General features: G+C 52.9%; 1 protein-coding gene across 2 annotated transcripts in view, besides 4 other annotated features; it reads right to left on the reverse strand.

Moving 5' to 3' along the window:
* The window catches only part of FAIM2 (Fas apoptotic inhibitory molecule 2), a 37,005-nt gene that overhangs the window by 5,747 nt on the left and 5,114 nt on the right, over positions 1-26,144 (reverse strand). For both annotated transcript variants that reach the window (NM_012306.4, XM_005268730.4), the window contains 9 exons: positions 25,345-25,448; positions 24,877-24,941; positions 24,389-24,442; positions 18,422-18,472; positions 18,041-18,080; positions 17,475-17,512; positions 16,839-16,926; positions 16,465-16,560; positions 14,744-14,797 (listed from right to left, as the gene is read on the reverse strand). In NM_012306.4, the coding sequence (NP_036438.2) occupies positions 14,744-14,797; positions 16,465-16,560; positions 16,839-16,926; positions 17,475-17,512; positions 18,041-18,080; positions 18,422-18,472; positions 24,389-24,442; positions 24,877-24,941; positions 25,345-25,448 (590 nt within the window). The remainder of the gene's footprint in view (positions 1-14,743; positions 14,798-16,464; positions 16,561-16,838; positions 16,927-17,474; positions 17,513-18,040; positions 18,081-18,421; positions 18,473-24,388; positions 24,443-24,876; positions 24,942-25,344; positions 25,449-26,144) is intronic.
* Positions 14,419-15,207: an enhancer, noted in NCBI's record as "H3K4me1 hESC enhancer chr12:50280844-50281632 (GRCh37/hg19 assembly coordinates)". NCBI's record gives its function as "activates a minimal SCP1, AML or CMV promoter by ChIP-STARR-seq in primed H9 embryonic stem cells {active_cell/tissue: H9 hESC(primed)}" and the evidence as "EXISTENCE:reporter gene assay evidence [ECO:0000049][PMID:30033119]".
* Positions 15,208-15,996: an enhancer, noted in NCBI's record as "NANOG-H3K4me1 hESC enhancer chr12:50281633-50282421 (GRCh37/hg19 assembly coordinates)". NCBI's record gives its function as "activates a minimal SCP1, AML or CMV promoter by ChIP-STARR-seq in naive H9 embryonic stem cells {active_cell/tissue: H9 hESC(naive)}" and the evidence as "EXISTENCE:reporter gene assay evidence [ECO:0000049][PMID:30033119]".
* Positions 15,997-16,785: an enhancer, noted in NCBI's record as "H3K4me1 hESC enhancer chr12:50282422-50283210 (GRCh37/hg19 assembly coordinates)". NCBI's record gives its function as "activates a minimal SCP1, AML or CMV promoter by ChIP-STARR-seq in naive and primed H9 embryonic stem cells {active_cell/tissue: H9 hESC(naive and primed)}" and the evidence as "EXISTENCE:reporter gene assay evidence [ECO:0000049][PMID:30033119]".
* Positions 22,466-23,045: an enhancer, noted in NCBI's record as "H3K4me1 hESC enhancer chr12:50288891-50289470 (GRCh37/hg19 assembly coordinates)". NCBI's record gives its function as "activates a minimal SCP1, AML or CMV promoter by ChIP-STARR-seq in primed H9 embryonic stem cells {active_cell/tissue: H9 hESC(primed)}" and the evidence as "EXISTENCE:reporter gene assay evidence [ECO:0000049][PMID:30033119]".

Genomic DNA, 26,144 nt, shown 5'->3' on the forward strand with positions numbered 1-26,144 from the left:
GCACATGGGACATTGAGGCAGGGCCACCGTCAAAGGTGAGGAGGTGGGGGCAATTATGAGCACAGGCTTGAAAGTCAGATCCACTTGGACTGCAGGCTCTGCTCTACCACTCATTAGCTGTAGGACCTGGGCAGAGCATTTAATCTCTCTAGGCCTGTGAGTCCCTATGTGTAAAAGGGAGATGAGCGTGCCTGCCTCCTGAGGTTGTTGTGAGAATGAGATAATGCATGCAAGGGGCCTGGCGTGGTGCCTGACACATAGTAAGCACTTAATGAATGCTTGCTATTATATTAATGTGGTTTCATTGTTATTATCTGCAGAAGGAGAGGTGCCCTCTTGAGGACATGCACGTGCTACTGATGAGACTCAGGTGTCTCTTGCATCTCATCAGGGAGGCAGCACTGTTCCTTGGGGAGCTGAGTGGCCTTAACACAGCGAAAATGGGGAGCCATGGCCAGGGCTGAGAGGAGCCCTGCACGGGGTGCGTCAGTCTCCTGAGCTCAGTGGCACTGAGGGAAGGGCACTCCAGACAGGAACAGGAGTTGAAATGCCTGGGTTTGAGACCCGGCTCCATTGCTCAGTAGCCAAGTCATCCACTTGACCTCAGTGTCCTCATCTACAAAGTGGGATAGTAGCAATGCCCACACCACGGTGTGGTTTTGAGGGTAGATTTATGACAGTGTATGTGGCATCCACTATTTGTATTTTTGAGTATGATTTCTCTCCATTCCGCTCTGCTCCTTCTGTGTTTGATTTGGATTCCCAAGCACATTTTCCTTCTGCAGAGAGAATGAGCAAGCAGAAGGCCCAGTGCAAATGCTTTGGGCCACTTGGCAGTCACAGCTGCCAGCATCAGTTCATAAACTGCTGATCTGGCTGTTCAATCAGTAGCTTGCTTGGTTGGTTTCCCAGAGCCTGGTCACCCCTGGGTGAGCTAATGAAATGGAGTCTCTTAACTTGGAAGGCTTGGATCTGTCCAGCTCTGGGGGTGGCCCTTCTGAGAAGCACCCACGCAGGAGACCCCCTAGAGCAGCCAGCTGGCTTTTCTCTTGGAGAGAAGAGGAATGAAATGATTTCTGCCCCAGCCCTTGGTCCATAGCCACAGATGCTTATCTATGTGGTGTTCTCTGGGATGGCCTGCTTCAAATTTCAACCCCACTGACCAGTATGACCCATCACTGCCACCTGATGCCTGTGAGTCAAACAAAGTCTTTTCATCGATTTATTCCCAACAATATTTGCTGAGCACCTACTATATTCCAGAGAACTTGCCCTCATAGAACTGACAGTCTAATGAGGGCAAAAGACATGATCAGAGATTCTGCATGGCAGTGCATTGATTTACAGGGGAAAGTCATCTGCTGCTATCTCCTTGGAGATGGAAAGCATTGTTAACTAATGTCTTGGTTGAGAGCAGGTATCTTGGTTATAGTTAACATCTTAGTGGGTAGCTAGGATCTTGGCTGAGAGCTAGCAACCGAATTGACTGCAAACCCCTAAAAGGAGGGCAGGTACTTGAGTTAGTGTTCAGCTGAACAGGAGACTCTGCAGGAGGAGCACATGGGATGGGGCAGGAGGCCCCCTGGGACAAGGACGCTATTAACTTACATCTGAAGAGTCCTTCCCCAGACCAACACTTGATCTCATCTCCCTCTCCCCATTTGCCCTGGGAGGTGGGCGTCCTCATGGTCTTACATGAGGAAAGGAGTCTGAGAGCTGAGTGACTTGCTGATGGCTGCTTATCGAGTGCCGTCTCCTATGCTGGTGGAGATAGGGGAGGAGTGGGCTTGCAGGGAGGGAGGGAGCATGTGCAGAGGGCACAGGTGCCAAAGGCAAACTTCCCCGCCTCACTTTACTGGCCAGTGCTAAACCTGGCCGGGGACCCCAGCCACACATTTGGCCTGACCCTGCCATATCTGGGGCCCAGGCTTATGTCCGTTGTCCTCCCTGAATGTGGCCCCAGAGGTGACGCTGAGGGGCTCTGGGCAGTGCATGCCATGGAAAGGCCAGCTCAGAGCCACCCGCAGGCAGGCACTGAATACAAAAAGCTGGGGTTGCAATGTGTTGTATCAGCATAAACAGTGCCACGTGGACTGTGTCTGTCCTGCATAAATGCCAGTGTGAGGGCGTGTGGAGGCAACCCCCAGGCTGTTGTTTACAGCATTGGTTCTAACAGTGAGATGCTGAAACAACCCAAACTCTACCAACACGGGGGTGGTTAAATAAACTCTGGGCAGCAGTGCTGAGGTGGAAACATCTGTGACAGACGCTACTGTGAGAAAAAAGCAAGTTGTGAAAAATCTATATCGTATGATCCCATAAAACTATACACGTCAGAGGAGCGCACATAGCAAATATCTATGAAATGCATAAAGAAAGGTCTGGAAGGAGAGATAATTCATGGTTCCTGCTGGGGAAAGCAGTGAGGGACACGATCAAAGTGACATTTGCTTTTTTCTATATTTAAGATTTTCCAAAAGTGAAATATGTGAATAAATGTATTCACATATTATATAATTAGAAGTTTAAAATAGAAGGGTTAAAATAGCACAAAAGAAGAGTTCGTGAACTCTTTCACTGAATTCTCACCATAAGCCTCTGCGGCAGGTGTCGCACTATCAGCTCCACCATTTGCTAAGGACACTGAGGCAGAGACAGTGTAAGTGACTTGCCCGCATCACCCAGCCCAGGGACAGCTAGAGGGTGAGCTTGGGCTTTGGGGAGTCTCTGGAGAAGAGACTACCAGCCATATGTCCAGGTGCGCCGACTGGGCTGCAGGAGAGGGTGAGGGGGTGAGGGAGTGAAGAGAGACCACTGAGTGGAGATCTGGGGCCCATTTCTTGCCTGATACCAATAGAAGATACTTCTCTCCACTGACCTGGATGTCAAAAATTTAGATGGCACAGACAACATTTGCACCCCCAGGAGGGCCACCAAAGGAACAGGGTCTGGCAGGCATTCGAATCAAAAAGCCTGGCCCAGGATGAAAGGGGGGTAGTGTATGAAAGTGTATTAATGACACACGATTATCTATCAACTTTTTAAAAAGTGGGCCAGGTGCGGTGGTTCATCCAGTAATCCCAGCACTTTGGGAGGCCAAGGTGGGTGGATCGCCTGAGGTCAGGAGTTCGAGACCAGCCTGGCCAACACGATGAAACCCCCGTCTCTACTAAAAATACAAAAGTTAGCCAGGCGTGGTGGTGGGCACCTGTAATCCCAGCTACTTGGGAGGCTGAGGGAGGAGAATCGCTTGAACCCGGGAAGCGGAGGTTCCAGTAAGCCAAGATCACACCACTGCACTCCAGCCTGGGCGACAGAGTGAGACTCCATCTCAAAAAAAAGGAACCAGGAGGCAAGGTAAGCATCAATAGCCTGTGGCAGTAAGTGGAATAAAATATTTTGTATGAAAGAGCCATGTGTGGTCATACGAGAAAGGGCATGAGTCCAGTATAATACAGTGCTTAAGAACATAGGCTGGGGAGTCACACAGACCTGGGTTCAAATCTTGGCTCAGACCTCAGATAACTTACCAACAGGTAAGAGTTACTGATCATTGACCACACACCAGGCACTGAGTGCTTTACATATATGAATGCATCCAAAAGCACAGCCACCTATGAGGAAGGTACTGTTCTTGTCCCCATTTTACAGATAGGGAAACTGAAGCACAAAGACGTTACATAACTCGGTGAGTCCACACAGCTAGAATGTGGCAGAGAAGGGGCTTTGATACTTATAGTGAATGATAACCTTGTCATTTAGATGACCAGATTTTGAAGCCAGGCTAAATCTGGTGATTTAAATGACAAGGTTATCATTTACCATAAGAGTAAAAGCTGGGCTGGGTGCGGTGGCTTACGCCTGTAATCCCAGCACTTTGGGAGGCCGAGGCGGGCGGATCACCATGTCAGGAGATCGAGACCATCCTGGCTAACATGGGGAAACCCCGTCTCTACTAAAAAAAAAAAAAATACAGAAAATTAGCCGGGCGTGGTGGTGCACGCCTGTAGTCCCAGCTACTCGGGAGGCTGAGGCAGGAGAATGGCGTGAACCCAGGAGGCAGAGCTTGCAGTGAGCCGAGATTGAGCCACTGCTCTCCAGCCTGGGTGACAGAGCGAGACTCCATTTAAAAAAAAAAAGAGTAAAAGCTGTCATCGATTGAGAATTGCCATGTGCCAAGTGTGAGGAGGCTGTTTTCCCTTCATCTGTTACACTATTCATCCATTACAACAGCCTGTGAGACAGGCAGGTTAGCCCCATTTTAAAGATGAGGCCAGTGAGGCACAGAGCAGTCAGGTCATTTTGCACAAGGTCACAGAATGGTAAGAGGAGCAGCAAGGCCTTGAATGTGACTTGGTGGGGGGCACTGGCCAGCTGCAGAGCCCCCTCCCCACTCCACAACCCTACTGGCCGTGCCAGTGCCTCTTCCTGGCTCTGCTCTGAAGAACCAGGTCCTGGATATGGAAGCAGAAGTTCCTTTCTGCCCCCAGGCAGGTGTGGAGCTGCCTCTGCCTCCCCTCCCTCAGTCCCCCACCCCAGGGCTTCTCCACCTCCTCCTGTCAGGTTTGAGCAGGGTGTGGGTTGGGGGATGAACTCCTCAGGAATGAGACAGGCAGGCCGCAGGAGGGGGCCTGCACACTCTCCCCTGAAGGAGCAATCACTGATCAGTCCACCCACCCCAGCCCAGAGGAACCCACGCCACTTCCAGGTTGTCTGGGTGGGGCGTCGGGGAGGCCTCAGGGGAGGCATTGGGACTGTTTCAGTGGCAGAGGGTGGGCGACCTAATAGAGAAGGTTCTCACTGGCTCCTTCAGCCTCATGTAACGCATTGCGAGAAATGGGCCTCAAGCTCTGAATGGAATGAACATAAGTCTAAAAGTCATGCCTCAGCCTTGGATTTGTGTGGCCATTTTTACTTTTCGAAGTGTTTTTCTAATTGTGAGGAAGGTAGGGCATATATCGCCATCCCCACTAGAAAAGCAGGGTGAGGGGTTGGGGTAGACGGCAGTATTTTTCTTAAATCCCTTGGACGCTGTGGGTCTGGCCCAGGCTGGTCATGGTATGTGTGTGCGCGCACACGGCATGTGGGTATGTGTGTGCCTGTATATATACGTGTGTATGTGCGTATGTATATGTGTGTGCATGTGTATATATGTGTGTGAGTGTGCGTATGTGTATGTGTGTCTATGTGCGTATATGTGTGTAGGTGTGTGCATGTGTGTGTGAGTGTATACATATATGTGTATGTGGGTATGTGTGTGTATATGTGTCCATGTGAGTGTATGCATCTGTATGTGTGTATATGTGCGTATGTGTGTGTATGTGTATGTGTGCATGTATGTGTTTATGTGTATGTGTGCATGTGCATGTGTGTATGTGTGAGTGTGGGTATGTGTATGCATGTGCATGTGTATATGTGCGTGTATGTGTGTTTATGTGTGCATGTGAGTGCATGTGTGTGCATGTGTGTATGTGGGTATGTGTGCATGTGAGTGTGCATGTGAGTGTGTGTATGAGTGTATGTGTGTATGTGCATGTGTATATGTGTGTGCATATGTGTATGTATGTGCTTGTGTGTATATGTGCATGAGTGTATGTGTGTATATGTGAGTGTATGTGCATGTGTGTGTCCATGTGTCTATATGTGAGTGTATGGGTGTATGTGCATGCGTGTATATGTGTATTTGTGTGCATGTGAGTGTATGTGTGTGCATGTGTGTATATGTGGGCATGTGCATGTGTGTATATGTGTGTGTCTGTGTGCATGTGAGTGTATGTGTGTGTATATGTGCAAGTGTGTGTCTGAGTGAATGTGTATGCATGTATGTGTGTGTGCATGTGTGTATATGTATGTGCATGTGTGTATATGTGTGCATATGACTGTGTATGTGCATGTGTATATGTGCGTGCATGTGTGAGTGTATATGTTCATGTGTATATGTACATGTGTATGTGTATGTGTGCATGTGTATGTGTGCATATGTGTATGTATGTGCCCTTGTATATATGTGCGCTTGTATGTGCATGTGTGTATGTGTGTATATGTGAGTGTATGTGCATGTGTGCATATATGCGTGTGTGTCTGTGTGCATGTGAGTGTATATGCATATGTGTATATATTTATTTGTGTGCATGAGTGTATGTGTGCCTGTGTGTATATGTGTGCATGTGAATGTGTGTATATGTGAGTGTATGTGTGTGCATGTGTGTATGTGTGTGTCTGTGCATGTGAGTGTGTATGCATGTGTATATGTGCATGTGTATGCGTGTGAGTGCATGTGTGTATATGTGCATGCATGTGTGTATGTTCATGTGTATATGTGCGTATGTGTATATGTATGCATATGAGTGTATCTGTGTATGTGCATGTGTGTATGTGTATGTGTGTGTCTGTGTGCATGAGTTTGTGTATGTGCATGTATGTATATGTGCATGTGTATGTGTCTGTGTGCATGTGAGTGTATGTATGTGCATGTGTATATGTGCATATCTCTGCATGTTTGTGTATGTGCATGTGTATGTGTGTGTGCATGAGTGCATGTGTATGCATGTGTATGTATGTGTATGAGTGTGTATGTGCATGTGTGTATGTATGCATGCATGTGTGTGCATGTGTGTATGTGTGCATGTGTATATGTGTGTATGTGTGTGGGTATGTGTATGCATGTGCATGTGTATATGTGCGTGTGTATGTGTTTATGTGTGCATGTGAGTGCATGTGTGTGCATGTGTGTATATGTGTATGTGGGTATGTGTCCATGTGAGTGTGCATGTGAGTGTATGTGTGTATGTGCATGTGTATATGTGTGTGCATACGTGTATATGTGCATGTGTATGTGCATGTGAGTGTATGTGTGTATATGTATGTGCATGTGTGTGTGTCCATGTGTATATATGTGAGTGTATGGGTGTATGTGCATGCATGTATATGTGCGTGTATATGTGTATTTGTGTGCATGCGAGTGTATGTGTGTGCATGTGTGTATATGTGCGTGTATGTGTGGGCATGTGAATGTGTATATGTGAGTGTGTGCATGTGTGTATCTGTGTCTGTGTGCATGTGTGTGTGTGTGTATATGTGCAAGTGTGTGTCTGAGTGAATGTGTATGCATGTATGTGTGTGCACGTGTGTATATATGTGCATGTGTGTATGTGTGCATACGACTGTGTATGTGCATGTGTATATGTGCGTGCATGTGTGAGTGTATGTATGTTCATGTGTATATGTACGTGTATGTGTATGTGTGCATGTGTATGTGCATGTGTATATGTGTGCATATGTGTATGTATGTGCCCTTGTATATATGTGCGCTTGTATGTGCATGTGTGTGTATATGTGAGTGTATGTGCATGTGTGCATATATGCGTGTGTATGTGTCTGTGTGCATGTGAGTGTATATGCATGTGTATATATGTATTTATTTGTGTGCATGAGTGTATGTGTGTGCCTGTGTGTATATGTGCGTCTGTGTATGTGTGTGCATGTGAATGTGTGTATATGTGAGTGTATGTGTGTGCATGTGTGTATGTGTGTGTATGCATGTGTGTATATGTGCATGTGTGTGTGCATGTGTGTATATGTGCATGCATGTGTGTATGTGTATGTTCATGTGTATATGTGCGTATGTGTATATGTATGCATATGAGTGTATCTGTGTATGTGCATGTGTGTATGTGTATGTGTGTCTGTGTGCATGTTTGTGTATGTGCATGTATGTATATGTGCATGTGTATGTGTGTCTATGTGTGCATGTGAGTGTATGTATGTGCATGTGTATATGTGCATATCTCTGCATGTTTGTGTATGTGCATGTGTATGTGTGTGTGCATGAGTGCATGTGTATGCATGTGTATGTGTGTGTATGAGTGTGTATGTGCATGTGTATATGTGCGTGTGTATGTATGCATGCGTGTGTGTGCATGTGTGTATCTGTGCATGTGTATATGTGCATGTGTATGTGTGTGCATGTGAGTGTATGTGCATGTGTGTATATATATGCATGTGTATCTGTGAGTGCATGTGTGTGCGTGTCTATATGTGCATGTGTATGCATGTGAGTCCATGTGTGTACATGCGTGTATATGTGTGTGTGTATGTGTGCATGTGTGTGTGCGCATGTGGGTATGTGTGTATATGAGTGTGTATGTATATGTGTTTGTGCATGTGGCTATGTGTGTATATGTGAGTTTATGTGAGTGTATGTATATGGATATGCATGTGTGTATATGCGTGAATGTGAGTGTGTGTGTGTGTGTGTGTCTCTCTGGATGTGCTGTCTTGGCTTCAGCGCATGCTCAGCTTAGCAGCAGCTGCCTCAGGCTGGTCCCTGCCAGCTCTGAGGGCTCCAGGTCTCAGCCCTGCTTTCCTTCCAGAGACTGAGGACAGATAGCTGTATTATGTCTCTCCATAGTCAGTGGTCAACATCGGAACTGGAGGTCCAGCATCCCTACTGAGCATCTTCCTATCCCAGCTCTGCTCATCCAAATGCCATTAGGCTTGCAGCATCCAGTACTGACCATGCACAGTCTCCCTGCCCCCACCCACCCCGGCTCTGGGACACTGCAGTGACCTCCTAACTGGTCTCCCAGCCTCTGGTCTGTCCACTCAGCTTCTCACTAATCTTCCTTAAAGCACAACAACTGTGATGTTTCTTAGCAACTGTCAGTGGCTCCCAAGGTCCTCAATTTGGCCAGGCTGGGCAGGAAGTGAAGAGGTCTATTCCCATTGGGCCCATCACCTAATTTCTAATGTCCTATGCCTCATTCCTTCCCGAGGACTCTGGGACTTGGGCTCCTGATTTAGGGGGCTCAGAGACCTTAGCTTCCCCAAGGAAGAACCAACTCTGAGATGGGGCAACCTGCTCCAAGTTCCATGGGCCCTGGAGTCTCAGCTGCGGCTAGAAGCCAGCTGCAGGCATGTGCCCCCACCTCATTCCCTGCCCCATCACGCCAGCCCCGCCCGACCCTCGTGCTTCCTGTGCGACTTTCCATGAGTTTCTACAGAAAAGCACCCAAAGAGAGGGCACTAGGGGGAATGGGAGGATTCGGCCACTCTGAGGTCAGGGCTGTTCAGCTGGCTCACCCACTTCTACTGGCATATTTGGGTCTGGCATCCAGTGAGGGATATGGGGTAGGGGTAAGACCAAAAACCCAAGGCTCCCTGAGAATGTACTAAGGCTGACATGGGTGAGGCCTAGGAGGGGCCTGTTCCTCAAAGCTGGACCAGAGCCCTGAGACGCCTCGCCTGCCACCCCCTCAGGTGCTGCCCCTTCCACTGGGCGGCCTGCCCTCAAAGATGGCAGAATCTCAAGAGAGGGGCTGATGTTTCTGGGAGAGAAATCGGATTCTCGAAGCTGGATTCTCACAGCGCTTCCAAAGCTCAGGTTGGTGGGAGTTGAGGGGAGGGTCCCCCTGGGGGTCTGGGGCCTCCTCCTACACTTCTCTTCACCCCACTCTTGCACAGTCTCCTTGAGGCGACACACGTGCCAGGGACACCTGCATGCAGTGTGCTGTGTCCAGCTCTGCTCAGCTGCAGGGCTGGGAGTGGCCCCCACTGTGCTGAGAATTCCCCAAAGGCTACGGTGGGAGAGGGCAGGATGGGCAGACGAGAGACCAGGGGGTGCTGGGTGCTAGTTATGGGATAGGCTGGAGCTAGGGGACCACAGAGTCCGCAGGCCTGAGGGTCAGGACGAGGTCAGCATGTTTCTGAGTTCAAGCTAATGGGAGGGTAAGGGGATTTAGTTATGGTGCTGGGCCTCCGAGGGCCTTCGTCTACCTGAAACTGAGAGGAGGTAAGGGAATGAGTCCCAAAGCCCCTCTCATCAACATTCCCCTGCCCCATGGGCCCCAGGGGAGCTGCAGATGAACACGGCAGGGGATGGAGCCAGGGGAACTGGCCCCATGCTCTCCATTGTTGTTTCTATAATCTGCAGGATGATCCCGACCAGGGCCTTTTGGAGTGTTGATCTCCTAATGAGATAATTGGCACTGCAGTTCCCCCTCCCCTGTGACTCACAGAAGACTGATGGGCAGTGCTGAATTCAACCACATAGCCTGTGCGTCCTCTGCCTTGCTCTGATTGTACCTCCGTGGGCCTGGCCCTGCCCCCTGCCACACCTCTTGGGGATCTGTTCATGCCACAAACATCTCCTGGGTACCTACTATGTACCAGGCCCTGTTCTGGGCACTGGGGCTGCAGTGATGAACAAGCCAGACTACAATCCCTGTCCTTAAGGAACTTAGATTCTGCTGGAGGGAGACAGACAATGAGCAACAGATCAGAAAAATACATAGTGTGTCAGAATGAGATGCGCTACAGAGAGAGGGAAATAGGGTAGGGAGGAAGAGGGAGGGACAGAGCTGCACACACTTGAAGGATGGGAGAGAGGGCTGTGAGCAGATCCTAAGAACAGACAGAGGTAGGTGCAGAGGCCCTGGGTTTGGAGAAAGCCTGCCATGCTCACACAGCACGAGTCCAGTGTGGCTACAGCAGAGGGGAGTGGGGAGGTCAGAGAGCTTGCAGGCTGTGGGAAGCGATTGCGGGATGCTCAACGGAGGAACGAGGGGACCTAACAACTCCAGCTGCTGTGCTGTGCATAGATGCAGGGCACAGGGGCAGCCTGCAGGAGGCCATGGCAACAATCAATCCAGGCTGGAGGCGACGGGGGCTGGGACAGGGAGTAGCCATGAGGGCAGAGATAAGTTTTCAGATTCTGGATAGGAGTGGGGGCCACAGCATTGATGTGGGGCGTGATGTAGGGGGTGAGGAGAGGGGAGGAGTGGAAGGTGTCACCAAGGCATTTGTCCTGAGTGACAGGAAGATGGGGAAGGCTTTGGGAAAAGCAGGCATCCAGGGGAAGGGGCAGGAGCTTGGTTTTGTACATGTGAAGTCTGAGGTGCCTATGAGACTTCCTCATGCAGACCCTCACTAGGCAACCGGAAATTCTAGTCTAGAATTCAAGAGAGAGATCCAGGATAGAGATGTAAATGTTAGAGTAATCATCATAAAATATCGCATTCAAAGCTTTGAGGCTGCCTGAGACCCTGAGGGAGCAGGGTAGAAAGAGAAGAGTCGGCCTTTTGCAGGATCAAGCAGGCTGTAGAAACGCCTGGGTGGGTGGTGGCCTGGACACCAAGGGAAGAAGGTGTTTTGGGGCAGGTGGGAGAGGGAAGGAACCGTTGTATCCAATACTTCTGGGAGTCCAGCAAGATGAGGACTGAGACTGGGTCCCCGGATTTAGCTACACAGAGGTCCCTTTGACCTGGATGAGAGTGTGTTTAAGAGGATCAAGAGGGAATGGTCGGGCGCTATGGCTCATGCCTGTTATCCCAGCACTTTGGGAGGCTGAGGCGGGCGGATCATCTGAGGTCAGGAGTTCAAGACCAGCCTGGCCAACATGGCAAGACCCCATCTCTACTAAAAATACAAAAAAATTAGCCAGGCATGGTGGTGCATGCCTGTAGTCCCAGCTACTCAGGAGGCTGAGGCAGGAGAATCACTTGAACCCAGGAGGCAGAGGTTGCAGTGAGTGGAAATCATGCCACTGCACTCCAGCCTGGGCGACACAGCCAGACTCCGTCTCAGAAAAAAAAAAAAACAAAAAACAGAGAGAGAGAGAGAATGGGAGGGAAAGGAATTGTGAGGAGAGTAGGGAAGAAGGAGAGAGGGAGGAGAGCCACTGGACATAGTGAGTGGAGGTTCTCTTAAAAGGAATTTTGCTGTATATGGGGAGCAGGGAATGGGGCAGGAGTGAGAAGGGGGATGTGGGTCAAGAGTGTTTTGTGGGTTATTTTCAGGTGGGAGAAATTGCAACGTGTTCCTATGTTAATGGGACTACTCCATTAGAGAGGGCAATACTGATGACAGAGAGAGAGAGAAAAATTCCTGGAGAGAACTCCTCAGCCTCTCCCCAATTCCAAGCCAGTAGAACCACAGAAGGTGTCCTCTTTGAAGGGAACCACAGGGGCACTGGAAATGGCACCAGGCTGGGCACAGGACACCTGGGTCTTGGTCCTCAATCTGCCTGTTACTGGCCATAAGAATCTGTGCCAGGACGGGCATGGTCACTCACGCCTGTAATCCCAGCACTTTGGGAGGCCAAGGCGGGCGGATCACGAGGTCAGGAGATCGAGACCATCCTGGCTAACACAGTGAAAGCTCGTCTCTACTAAAAATACAAAAAATTAGCAGGGCATGGTGGCGGGCACCTGTAGTCCCAGCTCCTTGGGAGACTGAGGCAGGAGAATGGCGTGAACCTGGGAGGTGGAGCTTGCAGTCAGCCAAGATCGCGCTACTGCACTCCAGCCTGGGCGACAGAGTGAGACTCCGTCTCAAAAAAAAAGACTCTGTGCCAGCCCGTTAACACCCAGGGCTTTGGATGTGGAAAGCAAGTCTTACAGCCTCAGGGCTGCCTGCCCCCACTCCCTGGCCAGACTGTGGTGGAGATGCGGGGAGGTAACAGGTGTGAAAGTGCTTTGTAAAACATAAAGGGTGGAACAGAGGATGGGGACTATTGTTATTATTCTAATAACACTAGGGCTTATCAAACAAATTTAAGGGATTACTGTTCACCCAGCCCTACTTGCATGCATGGCTTCCTCAGGTGGTTCACACACTGGCTGTAACCTGATCCACGGGAAGCCAAGTAAACTCCCCGGCCGGCCCCCCATGGGTGCTCACTGCCTCCAACATCACCAGACTGTCTGCCCTGGCTTGGCCCCTCTTCTGTCCCCTGCAAATGCCTCCCTCTAGGGCCTCCAGGCGCTGTTGCCCAGACTAGCTCTCCCGAATGTGGCCCTCCTCTTTCTCTCCTAGTCCGATTCCCCACCACATCCTTTGAAACCTTTCTTTAGGAAGTATTGCCTGGAGGGAAGAGCATGGTGCGGGGTCTGAGAAAAGTTAGTGTCTTCTGGTGGCCAGGCTCCCAGTTTGCCCAGGATTTAGGGGCTCCTCAAGAAGTGGGGCTTTCAGTGCTGAAACTGGAAAAGTCCTAGGTAGCCTGGGGTAAGCTGACACTTTAGTCTTGATCAAGACCACATTGAGCCATTATCTTGCCGGGAAACCATGGACAAATCATTCCATTTCTCTGGAGTTCAGTTTTCTCATCTAGATCTCAGCCCTCCAGTTCCAAGCCTGGAGGTCATTTATTCATTCTACAATACTGGCTGTGTGCTACTCTGCACCACGCACTGCACTCTCCCTGCTGACCAGGCATCTGGGCAGCCGTGCTGCACATCACACACAGTAGGTGCTCTATAAAGACCTGCGGAGAGGACGCGTGAATGAACCTGCCACACCCTCACTCAGGCTTGATCCCTATCCAAAGCCCCCAAAACCTCTGCTCACAGCTCTCTCCCCATCCCTTCCCCCATTTCAGCCCCCTCAGCCTGTCGCCCACAAGCCTCCGGAAATTTGACTAAGCTGCAACTCTGGCCACTTGAATTGAGCTGAACGTTCCAGCGAGGGAGGGGAGAGTCTGGTTACTGCTTCCATTGTCAATAAATGTTGACCTTGAATGCCTTTCCGAGAGGATGTCACCAGCACAAGCTTGCCCAACTGGGTGGGTCCTAAAACACGACTGCATTCGGGTGCGTGGGGCCCACCTGAGCAGGAGGCCTGTGTTGGGCAGCTCCAGGCAGGTGTCTGTCCGTGGTCATCTCTTGCCTCCTGGGCATCTGCTTCCGGCCACTCCCCACTTAGCCTCAGACCCCAAGGGGGACACACATCAGACTGTCCAGGTTCCCAGTTTGGCCCTATCACTTCCTAGGATGCTGTGTGACCTTGGGCATGTTATTTGATATCTCTGAGCTTCAGTTTCCCCATCTTAATTTATTTATTATTATTATTATTTTTGAGACGGAGTCTCACTCTGTTGCCCAGGCTGGAGTGCAGTGGCGCGATCTCGGCTCACTGCAAGCTCTGCCTCCCGGGTTCACACCATTCTCCTGCCTCAGCCTCCGGAGTAGCTGGAATACAGGCGCCCGCCACCACACCCGGCTAATTTTTTTTGTATTTTTAGTAAAGACGGGGTTTCACCATGTTAGCCAGGATGGTCTTGATCTCCTGACCTCATGATCCGCCCTCCTCAGCCTTCCAAAGTGCTGGGATTATAGGCGTGAGCCACCGTGACCGGCCTCCCCATCTTAATTTATTAACAGTAGAACCTATCTTATAGACTTAAGATGACAATTAAATGCTATGGAGAGCTGGCTGGGGGGAAGCAAGTGTTCAATAAATATTAGCTGTTACTGTTATCCTAACCGTAATCATCATCATCAACATTCTCAGTTTCGTGAGAACAGCAAAGAACATGCTCAATCTAACAGTCTCTCTCTCAGGGTACCTGGAATCTCCCTGGCTCCAAGAAGCCTTCCCTGATTGCCCCTAGGAGGGTAACTACTAACTTGGTCCACATGGCCAGGATACCCCCACTCTCTCGCCCCCGCAAGCACCGCTGCCCCTCCCCTGGAGGAAGGGATGCCTCTTCCCAGCTTTGCCTCTGTCTACAGCTTCCATCCTGCTGTTACAATCTTCCCTCCTGCCCAGGTCAGCCGGTCTGTCCTGGAAACCAGGTAGAATCCCCCAAATGAACAAACAAACAAACGCAGCACCGAGCCTAGCCCTACCCGCAGGTGCTCCCGAGGATCCAGGGAAGAGGGCTGTGAGGAAGATGGGAGGAGAAGGGGACTGGGGTGATGGTCAGGATGCTGGGAAGGAGGCTGCCAAGGAGCTAGACCACACTCACCAATGTAAATACACCCGCTCCCAGTGCTGCATAAACTGCATGGAGCCAGGGCACCTGCGGCAGAGGAAAAATGGGCTTAGGGACGACAAGAAGGGGCAGCAGTCAGAGGGGCAGGGAGGAGGGTTCAGTCCAGAGAATGGAGGACACGGGGTAGCCCTGCCCAGAGCTCCCTAAGGAGCCCCAGGACTGACAGTGGCCCCTGATTCTCTGTGTGCCCAGGGTGGGTGAAGTGAGGCCCGGGATAAGAGCGATCCTGGTGGGACTGGTGGGAGAACTCCCCCGAGCCTGGTCGTTCTTCCCGCAGCACACAGCCCTGGGCTCAGGGCAGATGAAGATGACTCTCGGTGGGCCCTGTCCTCCCTCTAGCCTGGGACTGCTTGAGGCTGCTCCCGCCTCCCAGTGTGCGTTCATCCCTGTCCAGCATAGGATCTGTCTGTCCTTGTGTCAGGGCACTCCTGGGCTCTGCCTTGGAGGCAAGGAACTCAGGTAGAAGGGGACAAAGACTTGACCTCAGGGGTGTGTTGGGGGGGCATCTGGAGTCTCTGCCAGCTGTGCATGGTGGAGGAACAGCTGGAACAGCACAGGCTGGAACAGCACCTCCCCACTCTCTGCCCCCTGAGTCTTCCTCCAGGTCTGGAGCAGCCAGCTGTGGGGGAAACTCTGCAGGAGGCACCGCACTAGGGCCCTCCATGGGGCCCTCCTCCAGAAGACTCGGAAACAAAGGCAACCCATCAACCAGACCTGGGTCAATAAAGGGTTCTTTGAAGTTCCGTGGCCCCTTCCTGTAACACTCCTCCCCATCCTAGACACACAGAGGGCCCCCAGGCCAGCTCTGGCCCCTCCCTTTGTCAACAGGATCCTGGGAAGAGCCAAGGAAATGCCAGCACCAATCCTGACGTCCTGGACTGGACGCCAAGTGCCCGGAGGCTGGGGCTGGGCAGGATGGAGGTGGGGAGGGGGATGTGAGGACAACTGCTCGCAGCCCTACTAGAAAAGGGCAGTGGGGGACTGTGTACCATGTGTGGCTATGGGGGTGAGGGGTATAAGCACTGGGCCCCCAGCAGCGGTCCAACAGCTCATCTCTTGGGTTCCCAGGATTCAGATCTCAAGGCCTTCCTGTGATGACCCCAATCTGCCCCTTCTCCACATGCAGGGGCCTGGGTGCCTGCAGAGTCTCAGTTGGATTCCCCAGGGCAGGCTGGACACCTCTAAAAGAGCTGAGACTTGGCCGCCAGCTGGTGGATGCTCTAAGGATGTGGGTATACTCCGAGCCCCGCTGCCCCACGTCCCGCCTGCCTGGCCAGCTAGATTCTGCCTCTTTGGACTTGGCTGATCCCCCAGGAGCCCCAGAAGACCCTTCTTCAAGGCCCCTCTGGGTCTGGCGGGCCTCATGGAGCCCCAGTACTCCCTTCCCTGCCCAGGGTTTAAATGCTCCACACCCTACCCTCAATCTCACCTCCACCCCACAGAGGAGGACGGGAAAAGTGAAGCCGGATGTGGCTTGTGGAGCCAGGCAGGTACCCAGGCCTGACAAGAAAAGCCTCCTTGTTTGCTTACACTGCCAGCACGCCTGTGGCAGGTGCCAGGAGGGGCCGCACAGGATGGCAGGCTGTGGGGCCTTGGCTCCTGGCCTTCCCTGGCGGATAGGGGAGGGAACGGCACCTTGGGCCAGTGGGGCCCCTCCCTCCCCATGGGGCCTGCTGGGGGACCCAGAGACTCACATATTGGAAGGGTAGGAGGATGGCCAGGATGAGTCCGCTGAAGAAAAGAGTCATGAGAAGCACGAAGAGCACGCCCTGGCAGGAGGTGAAGTCGAACTGTGGGGACAGGATGGGGTTAGCTGCAGGAGCGGCCTGACCTTCCTGGGGCCCCAACTACAGGCTGAGCCCATACAGCAGGCCACAGTCTTGTGCTTACCCCAAGAACCTGGCATTCCTTCCCCTCCTCCCCCTCATCAGGTGGCTTCCCCAAACCCAACTCACCCCCTTTACTTCTCTCCCCAGCCCCAGGTCCGAGCTCTGAGGCCCCCACCCCATCTGCCTTCCCCTGCTCAGCCTCAGGCCAGGGGTCCCTGCCTGCAGGCCCCAGAGCTGACCTTGGTCTGGAAGCTGAAGACGGTGACTGAGAGGCAGACAAGGGCCGTGATGCCCAGGCACAGCAGCACGGAGGTGGTGTTGTAGTAGCTGAGGACCGTCAGGCCGAGGGGTCAGCTCTCAGGCAGGGCATCTGGTCTCCCCCACCCTCCTAGCAGGCCCCTCTCTTCTGCCAGGACCTGGTCTTGGGATCCCTGGCCCCAGTCTGGTGCCCTTTCCCCAGATCCCTCTGTCTGCCTCCCCAGCCTTTCTGTTGGGCCCTGCCCCTCCCAACAGGCTTAGACTCAAAATCAAATTAGAAGGATCTTGATGAGGTGGGAGTGGGAGTGGGGAGGGGTTTGTGCCGGGCCTGGAGGTGGTTTACAAGTAACTGCAGGTCATGAGTCTTGGGGCTTGTAAGCTACTGTTTGGGAGGAGCCACCTTGCTCCCCACCCCCTATCCACCGGGCCAGGTCTTGGGGTCACTGTCCAGCTGAGTGCTCAAGCAGAGGACCCTAGGCCAAAGCCTCCTGCATGCCTGAGCCCCCGGGCCCATCCACATGCTCCCATGTGTGTGGGGCAGCTCCCCTCGGGTGTGGCTGGTGCCTGGCTCCAAGCCTGGCCTATGGTCCTTCTCTCCTTCCACCTGTTCCCTTTACCTGGACAGCATCCCAGTGAGGTAGGCCATGGACAGGGTCTGAAAGGAGAAGCAGGGTAAAGGAATGTTCCAAACTCAGACGCAGGGGCCCAGGCACCCTCGAGGTCCAGCTCAGGTCTCCACCCCTTGCAGGTACCCCTCAACTCTTTGTCTATGTCACCCCCACACACACTGACTTTCGGGAGTCAGGCCTGGCTAAGGAGTGTCCCTACTGCCAGCTTCAGGCTCTGTGCCAGCTGTCCCTTCCTTTCTTCTGCGGCCCTGCTCCCCACTTCTAAGACCCTCCACTCTTCTTCATTACCATAGCTCTAGGATGCCTCAAGCAAACCCCTTAAAAAATTCACAATGAAAAAAGACAGTGGATGGGGAACGGGCAAGATTAAGCCCATTTGGAAAGAGAAGATGGAATGTGTTTGTGGAAGAAGTGGGGTGAAAACACCCCTGCCCCGCCAGGGACCTCACATTGGACATCCCCAGCCCAGTCTTCCTGGTCCTCAATCCACCCTGCTTCCCTTCTTCCTCCATCCCCACTCAGCGTCTGTCCTCAGCACACCCAGGATCACTTACAAAGACGGTCAGGAGAATCAGGTTCCAGGGGAAATGCCTCCTGCAAGGCAAGCCACAGAGTTCAGGGGATCGTAGGGGGTGGGGGCAGTGGACCCAGGCTGTGACACTGTTGCAGGGAGGGGGTCTCTGACCAACCCCCTCCACACTCCTCAGAGCCTCTTCCTTCAGCCACATCCCCATTTGCTCCCTTCTCCATTCCCCTTCTCCCTACCTCAGAGGCACCAGGTAAAGGAGGGAGGGGCTGCCTGCTCGATAGAGGCCCAGAGAGGGATGGGGCCCTCTCAGGGCTGCACAGCTCACTGGTGGCTGGCAGGGCTGGGGCCAGAATTTTCATGATCCTGCTCATATTCCCACAAGTTCCTCCTCAAGCCATTAGCATACCTGGGTCCAGAACAGCAAGCCAGGGTCAGGTAGGTTGCAAAGAACACAGCACTGTGAGAGACAGATGGATAGGTGAGTCAGCCAGCCTCTCCTGGGTCCCTCCCCCAAGATCCCCTGCTTATGCCACTCTCTGCCACCCCCACCCACAGGGCAGCCAGGAGGGACAGGATGGGGAGGCCACGGTCATCCTAGAACCTGGCAGTGGGCAGGGTGGTGGTCCAGTTCCAAAAGAGAGCAAAAGGATGGGACGAGCCTGCTTCTAGAAACAGGGAATCTTGGGTCACATGAGACAGCTGTTCCTGACCACCCAATACAAAGTGGCCTCCCCAGACACTATCTTGCTATTTTAAAAGCCCATATATAGCATTTTCCATGTGCTAGGCAGTTTTAAGTGTTTTACGAGTATCAACGAATGTAATCCTCATATCTTTACTTTACTGCTGAGGCACGGGGAGGTCAGGCGACTTGTCCAAGGCCATCCAGCTACCACGCTGCAGAAGCAGGATGAGAACCCAGGCACTCTGGCTCCAGAGTCCCTGCTCATAACCACTGCCCCACACTGCCCCACACAGGCCCTTCTCAACCCTTATCATTACCTGGAGTGATCTTGTTAGTTACTTTACTGTTGGTCTAGCCTATTAAATTGTAAACTCAGCAAGGGTAGGGCCCTCTTCTGTCCTGCCAGCACCTGGAACAAGCAGGAAGTGGCACCTGTCGGGTGAATTTTTATATCAGGTGGCCACGTCCAGTGGGAGGCTGGCAGGCAGCTTGAGGGCAATCCAGAGATAGCGATGGAGGATTGAGGATTTTCTGAGTAGCGGAGGCAGAGACCAGTCCAGGAGGTGGGAGATGATGGCTGGGGACCCAAGGGTGGAGCTCGCCCATGCCTACCTAGGTTAGCGGTGCCACCAATGCATAGTTTCCAACCCCCAATGGGCCTTCAACATGGCACTGCCATCCTTTCCCCATCTCCTTCCTCGGTTCTCTCACCCATCACCCACAATTTCAAGCTTCCTCCTCCATCCACAAACCTCCCAGGCCCCCTCACTCTTCCCGCACAGTCTGCCTCCGGTGCTCCAGAAAGACTGGAAATGAGGTGAGCTCCCTTGGATCCCTGCCTGCCACCTGCAAATATCATGTGGTGCTACTTGCCCTCCTGTCCCTCCTCCCGTCCCAGGCCAATCCTCCCACCCCCTTAATTGCCCGGGGATCTCCATTACTTAAACCTTTCCACTGGTACCTCTCCTCCCACACAAGCCTCCTCAGCTGTTTTCCGTCTTTAACCAACACCTTCCCTGGCTCCAGCTACTGCCACTTCATCCTCTCTTGCAGCCACGCTTCTTGAAAAAGTGGTCTCCATTCACCATGCCCCCTCCTCCATCTTCCGAGCCCAACAAACACAGTCTCAGCACTACTCAATAGGAGCTGGCTCTGCCACATCACAGGACCTTATTGAGTGCAGTGGATGCTTGTCAGTCCTTATCTTGCCTGGCTTCTCAACATCTGGTCACTATCATTGTTTCCCTGGTTCCACATGACCCCTGGGTCCCTCCTACCTCCCTCACCACTCCTCGGTCCCTCCAGGGTCTCTCTCAGTCTGCCTGGTTCCCTCGATGTGGGGTCCTCTCCAGCTCTTCCCCCACGTTCTCCCTAGGTGGGCTCACTCATCCACCTGACTTGCTCACCCATATTTCTGATCTATATTTTCCTTTTCAACCCTAGACTCGAATTTCCAACTGCCTACTGGGCAGACATGACTATTCAGACACAAGTAATGTTCAACAGGTTAGAGGGGAGCTCCCTGTCTCCCCTGCTCGGTCTCCTGCATTCCCTCCTGCAGAGGATGTCATGCATCCTCCAAGTCACCCAATCAGAGACCTCAGCATCATCCTTAACTCTCACTCTGCTACACCCAATTAACCACCTGGACTTGTTGATCTTCCTACCCAGGCAGTTATCAAAGCTGCCCTCTTCCCTCCACCCCACTACCACCCTTTGAGGTCAGGGCACCTCTCTCTCTCTCTGGCTTGGACTGTTGCAGGAGCCCACCTGCCTTCCACCCTCCATGCTGCAGGCAGATCCAATCATTTGACTTCCCTGTATAAAATTCCCAAAGACCTGGCAATGCCCTGGCTGAGCAATCAGACAATGCATTCCCACCCACCCCTCTAGCCCTTCTCTCACTGCACTCTGCCCCTCCACTACACCCCTCTCATCACAACCTGCTGTGCTCCCTGGAAACGTGCCTGCCACACTCTGCTCCTGCTGGAAAGGACTGACCGGCAAGGACACCTGAGGCCTGGGTTAGAGGGGGGCATCTTCTGTGCACTGCAGGCATACCTCAACCAAAGCCTGAGCCCCCGCACCCTTCTGGCCAGCTCCTCTGACTTCCCACCCAGGTATAGCATCTGGGGGCCAGCCTGCAACTTATCAGTTTTCTATTCCCACCATCTGACCCGGAGCTTGGTGCCTGGTAGGTGCTCTTCAAATATTTCTGGATGAAATGCAAAACAAAACAAAACAAAAGACCCAAAAAAACGAAACAAGAGATGCAGGAGTTGAGACAAGCATATTGGATTTGGTGAGTAGGACCCCTTCAACTTAACCCTTTCCTGGTCTTCAGTGATTTTCAAATAATGAGGAACTGTTGTCACAGTGACTGGAGGGCTCTTCTGGTAGTTGGTGCCAGGGGCTGCTGAACATCCTGCTCCGTGAGGGACAGCAGAGCCATCCTGCCCGATTTAGGAAACACTCGGAACCTGCCCTCTTTCAGTCTCACTTGAGTCATTGGTCAGCCACCTCAGCAATAATGCTAATAATAATACCCTTGTCCATGTGGGTGTGGGTTCTATCTCGCCAGCCAGAGTGGAAGCTTCCTGAGGGCAAGAGCCCAGTCTCCTTTTCTCTCTGGTTCATAGCTCTTCAACTTTCAAGACAAGGGGTCTGGAGGAAGGGCAGAGGGGCCAAAGACCCTGAGATTGTGGTACAGCTTGGGAGGCTGACACCCCGCATTCACATCCCAGCTCTGCCACTACTGTTGTGTGACCTTGGACAATAGCCAAGACCCAGTTTCCACTTTAGCGAAACAAAAATACTGGTACCAACTCACTGGCCTGTTGGGAGGACTGATGAGACAGCACAGTTCAAGCACTTTGCGTGGGCCTGGCACAGGGGTGGGACTCCCCACTAGAGTTATGATAATTAGAAGCTGGCTGATGGACAGCTTCCTGGAAAGTCTCTGACCCACCTCCACCCAGCTCTGGTCTCACACTTTTCCTCCTCTGCCTGGGTTTCTCCTGGCCCACCAGCCCTCCACCACCGCAGACACGGTGGCTCAGTGGGCACAATCAGACAATAAGGTGAGAACCAATGGAGGGAGGCGATGAGGGCCTTGAGAAAGCTGGGCTGTGGGTGGGGGAGGGGGAGGCTGGCAGCCCAGGGGGCAGGGAATGAGTCACTTAAGAAGTCAGAGAGAGAGAGAACCAATGATTTATGCATCAGAGCCCCAGCCCCAGGGCCTGGGCAGGAACCACAGTCTGTTTACAGAATGTCAGGACAGGGAAGTAAGGCTCAGGTGCAGGCCAGCATCCAAACACAATGCCTTTCCCCAGCTTGTCCTGCTCTAAGACAAAGGAGGAAGCAGAGCACAGAGGGCAAATACATGGGTTTCACCATCAGAAAGACCTGGATTTCTACCCTGGTTATGCTGCTCTGAGCCTCACTTTCCTCAACTGTTAAATGAGGATAACAGTAGTGTCTGCCTGGCAGGGCTATTGAAAGATCAAGTGAAAAACACATGTGAAGTGCTTAGCACGGTGCCCTCCATACAGAAAAAGAGCTGTCTGCTTCTCAATGCTCCTATTGTTATTCCAAAAGGAAGAGACCCGGATGGAGTCCTCAGGGAGCACATGATGTGTTGCAGGAGGTGAGACCTACCAGGACTCAGACACGAGGCCAACTTAGGGGGCAGGACGGAGAGAGCTGAGGGGTGTGGAGCGGGCAGGGCAGGGCAGGCAGGACCCCAGGCAGGTTTTCTGGAGGAAAAGGGCAGCATCCCAGCAGTGAAACTCCCAAGCACCTTTCACACTTTGGAACACCCTATGAAAAGCGCCCAGTCCACGCCCACCTCCCACTTCTGCCAGCACCCACCCTGGTAGAAGCCAGAGAGAGCATCTCTGTTTTCTGCCCAGAGATGTTGAAGAGGAGGGACTCCAGATCTCACCATTCAGAGGTCAGATTCTCACACTGCACCCTCCCAATCCCCCCATCCCCCCCAATGGAGTGGACTCTGCCTCCACCTCCCGGGCCTACTCACTCCTGGGCTGTCTCCCTGCCACCACCTGCTCAGAGCATAGAGTCCCACAGACCCTCCTCCAGAAGGCTCAGAGAGGGGCCTAAGAATCCCTTCCCAAGTTCTCAGGAGCTCAAAGCTGCCAGGCCATGCTGATGTGCCAGAAGCCATGCCAACCTGCCACATGGGCTGGCCCAGGTGGTAGTCTCTGGGGCCTCATTAGCTTTACCGTACAGTGCCTCCCAGTTCCCCAAGACACATGCCTCCCTGCCTGCCTGCAGACAGGCCCTCTGTCCTCTGCTCTAGGAAAGACTTTGGAACCCCCAGAGGCCAGGCTAGGGTCCTTACCATCAGCCTCTGGTGGGCCTCTGTGAACTCTAGGCCCATCTCTGAGGCTACTCTGGGCTCGACGTGGTCCAGGGGGCTCTGGGCTGAGCCCACCTCCCCACCAGAGCCCTATCCAGGAACAGACTTGGGACAGCCGCAGTGTGTAAGCTCCTTGGCCAGGCAGTCAGAACCTTGACCCCACGAGGCCCCACTGCTCTCCAAGATGCCTTGGAATTCCCCTGCATGGAGCCTTCCAGCTCTCTGCCAGAGAAGTCCCAGTTTACCAAATGTACCACGTGCATTCTCGCCCCACGCTTTTGCTTAAGCCACTTGTCTCCTGGGAACGCTGTCTCCTGTCTTCATGGCCCATCCTTTGGGGGGCGCCCCTGATGTGGGCTGCGTGTACAGGCTCACTCCTTCCTTCCTCCCCTCTCCGAATGCTGCATCTGTTCATGCTACCTTGGGCCACCCAATAACTTTCCCTGCAGAGGCCTCCTCTCCCGCAGCCCCCGTACAGGGCTGGGCTCACAGTGAGCGCGAGAGCAGTTCTGCTCTGAGTCCCAGGATGGTTCTGGTCTGGAGATATCCAGGGTGACTCCTTAATTACCCAGAAAGGAGGATCAGAATCACCTACACATTCAAACCTCCTCTCCCAAGTTACTGGCCGGGTTCCTCAAAGAATATAGGACAAGCAGGAGCCGAGTGGCTCGAGGGCTGCAGGGAGCCTGCCAAGTAGATGGATTAAGAGCACAAGCCTTAACCTGAATTCTGGGTTTGAATCCCAGTTCTACCGCTGACTAGCTGTGTGACCTTGGGCAAATTCCTCATTTCTCTGAACCTTAATTTTCTGAAGTAGTCATACCCAGTAGATGTGAGGACCGAATGCAATACTGTACATCAAGCACACAGAACAATACCCAGCCCTTATTAAGCACTCTTTAAGTGGTAGCTATTATGATTAATATTTCATAAGCATTACTAACAACATTAATAAGAGCAGCAACATTATCATTAGTGTGGGCCAAAGTGTTCCAGCCCCACTTCCTCTTAGGACCGAGGTCTGGGTCTCTCCGGCTATAGCCCTGGCCCGACCCTTCCCAATTTGCGCAGGCAGCAGAACCTACCCCCGTCTCCTTTGTGCCCCATCAGATGTAATGCCCCAGAAAGGTGCTTCTGGCCATGCTCTGAAGCCGACAGAATGGGGCAGGGTTGGAGGGGATCTGTGAGGACAGTCCCTGTGGGGCTGGGGGAAGCTACGGGCTCAGATTAGGTCAAGAAAGACACAGAGATTCCCTCTTCTGGCCACTAAGCCTTCTCTGGAAGGGGACTGGGGACTGAGATATACTCACTAGGATGCCCAGTACCAGCCTGGGTTGGCCTGGACATAGTCCTTGACAGGGTCACTGCAGAGAAGAGAGAGTGGGAGAGAGAGTCAGAATGTACCCTAGGTCTCCATTTCTGGTTCAGCATCTGCATCTGTCCCACACAGTTCACAGAACTTGAGAGGAAGCCAAAGGAATGCAGCCCCTGGAGGCTCGGGGAGTCCCAGCCCACAGTCCCCGGCTGGGACCTGCAGGTGCCTGGGCAAGCAGCTAGTGGTTCGGATCAGAAGGACTGCCACACAGACACCCAGAAGGCACCCAGGGTCCACCCCACACTGGACAGAGGGCCCCTTGCCTGGTGCCCTCTCTAAGGTTCTTTCCCAGCAGGAGGAGGCCCACTGCCCCACAGGCATCTCTCCAGGCAGCATTCCAGCAGGAGTCTGATCATGGGTTCCCCGGCTCCAGGCCTGGCCATAGTCATCCCTGGAAGGTGCTGGTCCATGCTGCCAACTCACCAGAAAGTAAAGAGAGCCACGACAGCCAAGGTCACCAGCAGCTGAATCAGCAGGATGGTGTAGACCTGGGGGTGGGAGGGGTTCTACTCAGCTTGGGGGGCCCTGTTAGGGACCTGTCAGCCCCGCAGTGACTCAGTCACCTCTCCAGGTCCCCATCCTGTGCACTCCACCCTCCTTTTTGGGGGTCATTGGAGTGAACCCAGGGCAAGGCGAAAGGAAAGCAAAGATGCTGCAGAGCCAAGCGCACCCCCCCCCAGCATTGGGAGAAAAGAGGGGACAGTGTGTTTAGGTGTAGCACAGGGCACTGGAGTGACACCTAAGGAAGCAATTCCTAGTGGGTGCTGTCAGCTGGGATCACAAGAGAAGGGGGCAGGGATGGCTTCTGCAGGCAGAGGGTTGGGCCAGGGACCTCTCCAGGGGCTCCCCCACTGAGGCTCCCAGTCCCAGAGGGCTACAGAGGGGCATTACCTTTCTGACAAAGACTCGACGAACTTTCTGGTCATCCCAGCTGAAAGTGGTGAAGAGCTCATGGTCTCCGGTGGGGAAACCGTTGTCATAGCTGGAGCTGCTGCCTGTGTGGCACGTGGAGGAGGAGGACATGAGGGTTCCCCCTACATAGAATTACTGTCCCCAACAGCCCCCAACTCAAAGCTGCCTTTTTGTCAACCTGGCTCTCTGGACCCTGAAGTCTTTCTCTCCTGCCCCATTATCAAACACCCAGCCCGGCTCCACCCCAATCCCCAGATCTCTCTCCCTGGTCAATTCTCACTTTTCCTGCTCTGAGTCCTGGGAAGAAGCTGTCATCCCCTACCTCTCCCTCCACCCCGGCTGGGGCTCCCTGGGGACCAAGCTCTGCCATACGAATGTGAATCTCCCATCTTCTTCCCCCCACCATCCTCCTTGGACATTCTGGCTCCCTTGTGGTCAAGGATCACAGAGGGCCAGCCACTCTCTCTGGGCCACCCAGCAGCAAAGATCCTGACCCTTGCTCATTCTTTTTGTTTTTGTTTTGTTTTGTTTTTTTGAGACAGGGTCTCACTCCTGTCACTCAGGCTAGAGTGCAGTGGCATGATCATGGCTCACGGCAGCCTCGACTTCCCCTGGCTCAGGCGATCCTCCCACCTCAACCTCCCGAGTAGCTGGGACTACAGGTGCACACCATCACGCCTGGCTAATATTTTATATTTTTAGTAGGGATGGGGTTTCACCATGTTGCCCAGGCTGGTCTTGAACTCCTGAGCCCAAGCAATCCACCTGCCTTGGCCTCC

The sequence above is a fragment of the Homo sapiens genome, chromosome 12 (genome assembly GCF_000001405.40).
Source record: "Homo sapiens chromosome 12, GRCh38.p14 Primary Assembly".
Classification (NCBI taxonomy): domain Eukaryota; kingdom Metazoa; phylum Chordata; class Mammalia; order Primates; family Hominidae; genus Homo; species Homo sapiens.